The following is an 8,919-nucleotide window of genomic DNA, read 5'->3' on the forward strand; positions in this document are numbered from 1 at the left end:
TCAGGAGTTCAAGATGAGCCTAGGCAACATGGCGAAACTCCCTCTCTACTAAAAATATGAAAATTAGCCAGGTGTGGTGGCGTGCACCTATAGTTCCAGCTACTTGAGAGGCTGAAGTGAGAGGATTGCTTGAACCTGGAGGAAGAGGCTGCAGTGACCTGAGATGATGCCACTGCACTCCAGCCTGGGTGACAAAGTGAGACCCTGTCTAAAAGAAAAAAACAAAAAGGCCAGGCGTGGTGGCTCATGCCTGTAATCCCAGCACTTTGGGAGGCCAAAGCGGGCCGATCACGAGGTCAGGAGATCGACACCATCCTGGCTAACATGGTGAAACCCCGTCTTTACTGAAAATACAAAAAAAAAAAAAAAAAATAGCTGGGCATGGTGGCGGGCGCCTGTAATCCCAGCTACTTGGGAGGCTGAGGCAGGAGAATGGCGTGAACCCGGAAGGCGGAGCTTGCAGTGAGCTGAGATCACGCCACTGCCCTCCAGTCTGGGCAACAGAGCAAGACTCCGTCTCCAAAAAAAAAAAAAAAAATCTGACAACTGAAATGTTGGTAGGAAACAGCCTAGATATTTGTTATCCAGCCATTCCAACCCTGGGTACTCACCGGAGAGACAGGGGGTATATTCACCAAAAGATACGTATAAAAAGGCTTAAAACAGCTTTTTTCTTTAAAGATTTTTTGAGACACAGGATCTCATTATGTTGCCCAATCTGTTCTCGAACTTCTGGCCTCCAGCAATCCTCCTGCCTCGGCCTCCCAAAGTGCTGAGATTACAGGCGTGAGCCCCCACGCCTGGCAATCAAAACAACAACTTTATCCACAATTGTCAACACCTTGTTGAGGCTCAGAAAACAAACCCCTAAAATGAAGGTCTCAGAAACACCAGATTTTCTCTGACCTTCTTCGCTGTCTCCGAGGACCCTTCCCCTCCGCCAGGGTTACCACAGAAACTAGAATTATTTTCCCCAAAGTAGGACAGAGAAACCAGAACTCCTTTTCCCCAAAGCCAGCCATAAGCCCTAAAAATATGACTAACTTGCCCTCTGCCCTTCTGTGTAAAAACTGGCCATAAAGAAATTGGCCGGGCGCATGGCTCACGCCTGTAATTCCAGCACTTTGGGAGGCAGAGGCAGATGGATCATTTTAGGTCAGGAGTTCGAGACCAGCCTGACCAACATGGTGAAACCCCATCTCTACTAAAAATACAAAAAAAAATTACCTGGGCACAGTGGCATGCGCCTGTAATCCCAGCTAATTGGGAGGCTGAGGCAGGAGAATCACTTGAATCTGGGAGGCAGAGGTTGCAGTGAGCCGAGATCACACCACTGCACTCCAGCCCGGGAGACAAGAGTGAGACTCTGTCACAAAAAAAAAAAAAAAAAAAAGAGAAATGATCTAACCTACCTTGTTTGACTGTACGCCATAAGATCCCCATTCCAGAGAGGGTTTTGCCCTATACCCAGAAGGAAAGAACGCTGCTCAGAGAAGCCAAGAAGAATCTAGACAGACAGGCCTTGCAGGGTTTCCCCACTCTGTCTCTGCACATTGAACCTTTTTTGCCCCATGTTTGTTTTTGTTTTGTTTTGTGCTTTGTTTTTTGGAGACAGAATCTTGCTCTGTCACCCAGGCTGGACTGCAGTGGCGTGATCTCAGCTCACTGCAAACTCCTTCTCCCGAATTCAGGTGATTCTCCTGTGTCAGCCCCCCAAGTAGCTGGGATTACAGGCACCCACCACCATGCCCAGCTAATTTTTGTATTTTTAGTACAGATACGGTTTCACCATGTTGGCCAGGCTGGTCTTGAACTCCTGACCACAGGTGATCCTCCCGACTCAGCCTCCCAAAGTGCTGGGATTACAGGCATGAGCCACCGTGCCCGGCCAGCCCAATCTTATTTCTACATCGCTGCTCATACTTTGTTAAACCAAAGCATAAAAACGGACAACTTCCCCTGTGTCTTGGGGGCTTCATTCTGAAGGCTCCCGCATATACAGGTTAAATAAACTTCAATGCCTTTTTTCCTAGTAATCAATCGGCCCCATGGCAATGACTTTTCTGTGAACCTTCAGAGGGTCAAGGAAAACTTAACCCCTTTATCCCTGCAACCTGGAAACAACCCAAATGCCCACCAATAGGTGAATGGATAGTGAAAAATTGGTACCCAGTGGTTATGTTTTTTTTTTTTTTTTTTTTTGAGGCGGAGTCTCCCTCTGTCTCCCAGGCTGGAGTGCAGTGGCGTGATCTCGGCTCACTGCAAGCTCCGCCTCCTGGGTTCACGCCATTCTCCTGCCTCAGCCTCCCAAGTAGCTGAGACTACAGGGGACCGCTACCATGCCCGGCTAATTTTTGTATTTTTAGTTGAGACGGGGTTTCACCATGTTAGCCGGGATGGTCTCGATCTCCTGACCTCATGATCCTCCCGCCTCGGCCTCCCAAAGTGCTGGGATTAACAGGCGTGAGCCATGGTGCCCGGCCTTTTTTTTTTTTTTTTTTTTTTTTAGATAAAGTCTTACTCTGTCACCCAGGTTGGAGTGCAGTGGCATGATCTCAACTCACTGCAACCTCTGCCTCCTGGGTTCAAGTGATTCTCCTGCCTCAGTCTCCCAAGTAGCCGGGATTACAGGTGCCCACGACCACACCCGGCTAATTTTTGTATTTGTAGTAGAGATGAGGTTTCCCCATGTTGGCCAGGCTGGTCTCGAACTCCTGACCTCAAGTGATTGGCCTGCCTTGGCTTCCCAAAGTGTTAGGATTACAGGCATGAGCCACCACGCCCCGCCATGATTTTTTTTTTAATAGGAAAACCCCACCAAAGTGTTGGTGAGGATGTGGGCATATTAGAACCTCCATACGATGCTGGTGGGAGCGTAAAATAGTGCAGCTATTGTGGAAAACAGTCTGGGTCTGGCAGTTCTACAAAAAGCTAAACACAGGCTGGGTGCTATGGCTCATACCTATAATCCCAATACTTTGGGAGGCCAAGGTGGGAGGATCACTTGAAGCCCGGAGTTCAAGAGTAGCCTGGGAAGCATAGGAAGTCTTTATCTCTAAAAACAACAACAACAAAAAAAATAAAAGTTAAAGGGCTGGGCGCGGTGGCTCATGCCTGTAATCCCAGCACTTGGGGAGGCTGAGGTGGGAGGATCACCTGAGGTTGGGAGTTCAAGACCAGCCTGACCAACATGGTGAAACCTCGTCTCTACTAAAAATACAAAATATTAGCCAGGCGTGGTGGCACGCGCCTGTAGTCGCAGCTACTCAGGAGGCTGAGGCAGGAGAATTGCTTGAACCCGGGAGGCAGAGGTTATAGTGAACCGAGATCGTGCCACTGCACTCCAGCCTGGGTGACAGAGCAAGACTCCATCTCAAAAAAAAAAAAAAAAAAAAAGAAAATGTATATTCACACGAAAACTTGTATACAAATGTTCATAGCAAAAAAAAGCCAAAAGGTGGAATCACAAGAGCCAATAATTGTGATAGCCAAAAGGTGGAAACAACCCAAATGTTTATTAACAGATGAACGGATAAAGAAATGTGGCCCGGCTGGGCCCGGTGGCTCACGCCTGTAATCCCAGCACTTTGGGAGGCCAAGGCGGGCGGATCACAAAGTCAGGAGATTGAGACCCTCCTGGCTAACACAGTGAAACCCCGTCTCTACTAAAAATACAAAAAAATTAGCCGGGCATGGTGGCGGGTGCCTGTAGTCCCAGCTACTTGGGAGGCTAAGGCAGGGGAATGGCGTGAACCCGGGAGGCGGAGCTTGCAGTAAGCCGAGATCACGCCACTGCACTCCAGCCTGGGCGACAGAGCAAGACTCCGTCTCAAAAAAAAAACAAAAAAACCCACAAAAAACAAAAAAAGAAATGTGGCTCATCCATATACAGGAATATGATTCAGCCATAAAAAGGGAATAACGTACTGACACAAGATACAACGTGGGTGAAGCTGGAAAACATTATGCTGTGTGAAGGAAGCCAGCTGCAAAAGGCCACTTACTGCCTGAAATGCCTAGAGTGGGCAAATCCTTAGGACAGAAAGCTGATTTGTGGTTGTGAGGGACTGCGGGGGGGAGTGCATAATAGGGAGTTACTGCTGTTGAGGATAGCATTTATTTTCTTTTTTTTTTTTCAATTTTTATTTAAAAAATTATAGGCTAGGCACAGTGGCTCACACCTGTAATCCCAGCACTTTGGGAGGCTGAGGTGGGTGGATCACCTGAGATCAGGAGTTCAAGACCAGCCTGGCCAACATGGCGAAACCCTGTCTCTACTAAAAATAAAAAAAATAGCCAGGCGTGGTGGTGCATGTCTGTAATCCCAGCTACTCAGGAGGCTGAGGCAGGAGAATTGCTTGCACCTGGGAGGCAGAGGTTACAGTGAGCTGAGATGGTGCCACTGCACTGCAGCCTGGGTGACAAAGCAAGACTCCTTCTCAAAAAAAAAAAAAAAAAAAATTCCGAATAGAGCGATAGGGTTTCCTTATGCTGTCCAGCCTGGTCTTGAATTCCTGGGCTCAATGGATCTTCCTGCCTCTGCCTCCCAAAGTGCTGGGATTACAGGCATGAGCCACCATGCCCGCCCTAGGACAGAGTTTCTTTTTAAGAGGATGAAAGTATTCCGGAACTAGATATTAGCGAGGGTGGCAGGACGTTGTAAATGCACTAAATGTCACTGATTTGTACACTGTAAAATGGTTAAAATGGAGGCCGGGTGCAGTGGCTCATGCCTGTAATCCCAGCACTTTGGGAGTCTGAGGCAGGTGGATCACCTGAGCTCAGGAGTTTGAGACCAGCCTGGGCAATACGGCAAAATCCCATCTCTACAAAACATACAAAAATTAGCCAGCAGAGGTGGCCTGCACCTGTTGTCCCAGCTAGTCAGGAGGCTGAGGTGGGAGGACTGCTTGAGCCCTGGAGGCAGAGGTTGTAGTGAGCTGAGATTGTGCCACTGCACTCCAGCCTGGGTAACCTGACCCTGTAATCCCAGCACTTTGGGAGGTCAAGGTGGATCTCTTAAGCCTAGGAGTTTGAGAGCATCCTGGGCAACAAGGAGATGCCATCTCTACAAAATATACAAAACATTAGCCAGGCATGGCGGCGCACACCCGTAGTCCCAGATACTTGGGAGGCTGAGGTGGGAGGATCTCTTGAGCCCTGAAGGTCAAGGTTGCAGTGAGCTGAGATCAAGCCAGTGCACCTCAGCCTGGGTGATAGAATGAGACCCTGTCTTAAAAAAAAAAAAAAAAAAAAAGGCCGGGCACGGTGGCTCATGCCTGTAATCCCAGCACTTTGGGAGGCCAAGGCTGGCCTGACACCGGGAGTTCAAGACCAGCCTGGCCAACATGGTGAAATCCCGTCTCTACTAAAAACACAAAACTTCCTGGGCATGGTGGCAGGTGCCTGTAATCTCAGCTACTTGGGAGGTTGGAGCAGGATAATCACTTGAACCTGGGAGGCAGAGGTTGTAGTGAGTCGAGATCACACCACTGTAGATAGAGAGAGAGAGAGAGAGAGAGAGACTCATTCTGTCAAGCAGGCTGGGTTGGAGTGCAGTGGCGTGATCTCAGCTCGCTGCAATCTCCACAGCCCAGACTCAAGTGATCCTCCCACCTCAGCCTCCTGAATAGCCCACAACCACACCTGGCTAATTTTTGTATTTTTAGTAGAGACGGAGTTTCACCATGTTGGCCGGGCTGGTCTCAAACTCCTGACCTCAAGTGATCCGCCTGTCTCAGCCTCCCAAAATATTGGGATTACAGGTGTGAGCTACTACACCCAGCCTGACCATGTCTATATTAAACCTCAACAAAACTGTTAAAATAAGAAAATAATTGCCAGGAGAAGATGAGAATATCCAGCAGTCCTGAGGGCTCAGGGTTCCGTTTTCCCCACAAATGCCATCATCTGACGCCTCTGGGGATGGTGACCTTGAAACAGTCATGGAGCTGGGCCAGAAACCAGAGACCAGAGTCCCATGCCTGGGATTTGAGCAGTGGTCTCAGAGGCTTCTCAGTTTCTAGGGAAATGCACCCCACATGTCCCACACCAGAGTCCTCAAGCTTGGGAAATGCTTTGGGACAGGAAGACCTCATGGCTCCAAGTACTCAGGACATTATCTCCCAAAAACCTAATGGGGGAGACCTTCATCCCCAAATCAGATCCCCCTAGTGGAGACATTTCTTCAGGCCCTGTAAGACCAACTAGTAATAGAATTAATACCAACAGGCCGGTGCAGTGGCCCATACCTATAATCTCAGCACTTTGGGAGGCCAAGTGGGGCAGATTACTTGAAGTCAGGAGTTCGAGACCATCCTGGCCAACATGGTGAAACCCCATGTCTCTACTAAAAATACAAAAATTAGCCAGGCATGGTGGTGGGTACCGTAATCCCAGCTACTCAGGAGGCTGAGGCAGGAGAATCCCTTGAACCCGGGAGGCGGAGCTTGCAGTGAGCCGAGGTTACACCACTGTGCTCCAACCTAGCCTGCTTGACAGAACAAGACTCTCTCTCTCTCTCTCAGAATGATTCTGGCAAGGGCGACAGAGTGAGAATCCGTCTCAAAAAAAAAAAAAAGAAAGAAAAAAAAGAATTAGTACCAACAATCATAATTCACAGCGTGGGCAGAAGGAAGTGGATAGACTTCCATTCAGAAGCTCCTGGGTTCGAATCCTGGACCCATCCATAAATACACAAGGAAGGAAGGAAGGAAGGAATAGTGGACAAATAGGCCTTTCAGCCCATTCCAAAAGACTTTATCATATCCCTTCTCAGATGCCCAAGCCTTGTGTTGCACAAGGCCAGGGCCCCAGAGAGGCCTCAGGCTTCCAAAAGTTTCCAGCCTTATAGGGGAGATAGTGCCCGACACAGACACTCCCACTACTATTACTGCTCACAGCAATAACAGAAGAAATCACAGGCAGGCGAGACACAGGGAAGGGAGCCAAGGGGGAGGGACAAGGATAGAGGAAGGATGCCAGAACCAAAAAGAGAGAGAGGAAGTGGAGTGCAAGAATGGTAGACGGCACGTGGCCAGTGGCTGTTACACACTGGCCAGGGAGGAAGTTGGGCTGAACAACCTAGATAATAAACGGCAGCGGGAGGCTGATTCGCCTTCCCAGATCTTTCCCATTTCTGTTCTGCTTTTCTTTGCATACTCCCGGAGACAGGGAGCTCACTCCTGAGAAAGGAGGTTCAATGTTTCCTGGGCATGGACCACTGTCCAGAAGTTCCAAGCAAGATGATTTGTCAAGTAGTAGCCCCTATGGGTCAAAGGGCTAAAGGGGGCCAGGCGCGGCGGCTCACGCCTGTAATCCCAGCACTTTGGGAGGCCAAGGCAGGAGGATCACTTGAGGTCAGGAGTTCGAGACCAGCCTGGCCAACATGGTGAAACCCCATCTCTGCCGGGCACGGTGGCTCACGCCTGTAATCCCAGCACTTTGGGAGGCCGAGGCAGGCAGATCACGAGGTCAGGAGATCGAGACCACGGTGAAACCCCGTCTCTACTGAAAATACAAAAAATTAGCTGGGCACAGTGGCGGGCGCCTGTAGTCCCAGCTACTCGGGAGGCTGAGGCAGGAGAATGGCATGAACCTGGGAGGTGGAGCTTGCAGTGAGCCGAGATCGCGCCACTACCCTTCAGCCTGGGCGACAGAGCGAGACTCTGTCTCTAAAAGAAAAGAAAAGAAAAGAAAAGAAAAGAAAAGAAAAGAAAAGAAAAGAAAAGAAACCTCATCTCTACTAAAATACAAAAATTAGCAGGGCATGGTGGCGGACACCTATAATCCCGCTACTTGGGAGGCTGAGGCAAGGGAATCGCTTGAACCCGGGAGGCAGAGGTTGCAGTGAGCTGAGATTGTGCCATTGCACTCCAGCCTGGGCGGCAGAATGAGACTCCATCTCAAGAAAAGGAAAGGAGAGGAGAGGAGAGGGGAGAGGAGGGGAGGGGAGGGGAGGGAGAGGAAGGGAGGGGAGGGGAGGAGAGGAGAGGAGAGGGGAGAGAAGGGGAGGGGAGGGGAGAAGAGGAGAGGAGGGGAGGGGAGGAGAGGAGAAGAGAGGGGAGGAAAGGAAAGAAAAGCCTAAAGAGGATTATCTGGGGAGAGAGAGGTACCCATGTGCGCAACGCAGGCAGTCCCTTGCACAGGCTGGATCTAGAGTAAGACCCACTTGGGTTCAAACCTGCTCTACCACTTACAGGCCTGGTGACTTCATCCCTCCAAATCTCAGTTTCCTCTTCTTTCCTCTGAAAGTGACCACAGTAACTGTGCCTACTCATCTGTGCCTACATACAAGCACAAAACTCATCGCTTTGTGCTTGTATGTAATGAGCTAATGCAATAAAATACCTGGCGCACAGGAGGTGCAGAATAAGTGTTGCCCTGTTCCAGGCAGGCCCAGAGTGCTCCGGTTGTGTCCCAAACACACATGTACTTTCTTACCTCTAAAACTTTGCACCTGCTGTAAACTTCTGCCTCACCAGCTCTTGCCCCACCACCCACAAGGCAAACTCCTACACATCCCTTAAAGCCCTACCTACAAGATAGATTTCTTTTCTCTGTTCAAGCCCTGACCTAGAGAGCTGGGAGCATCCATAGGCACCGGGTTCTGATGCGGCCTACTGTCATGTGATGTGAGTTCCTGGAGGGCAGGAGTTCTGACCTACATGCAGCAGGCACGCAATCAAAGCTTGTTCAATGAAAAAAAAAATGAATGAATGGTCACTTGGGAGAGGCGGCTCCCAAGCGGACACCCAGGAGTCGGCCAACCCCTTTAACGCCCGCATCCCCTGCTCTCCACGACCTCAAAGGGCCTGTAAGTGGTCGACAAAAAGGGGCGGGGATGCGGTGGTTCCGGGCGGGGTCTTCAGCCCTTCCGGTGCGGCCCCTTTAAGAGGCGGGGCCTGCGGGGCGGGCGCC

General features: G+C 50.0%; 1 annotated feature.

Moving 5' to 3' along the window:
- Positions 6,950-7,451: an enhancer, noted in NCBI's record as "H3K4me1 hESC enhancer chr19:17828319-17828820 (GRCh37/hg19 assembly coordinates)". NCBI's record gives its function as "activates a minimal SCP1, AML or CMV promoter by ChIP-STARR-seq in primed H9 embryonic stem cells {active_cell/tissue: H9 hESC(primed)}" and the evidence as "EXISTENCE:reporter gene assay evidence [ECO:0000049][PMID:30033119]".

Source organism: Homo sapiens, chromosome 19 (assembly GCF_000001405.40).
Source record: "Homo sapiens chromosome 19, GRCh38.p14 Primary Assembly".
NCBI classification, from domain to species: domain Eukaryota; kingdom Metazoa; phylum Chordata; class Mammalia; order Primates; family Hominidae; genus Homo; species Homo sapiens.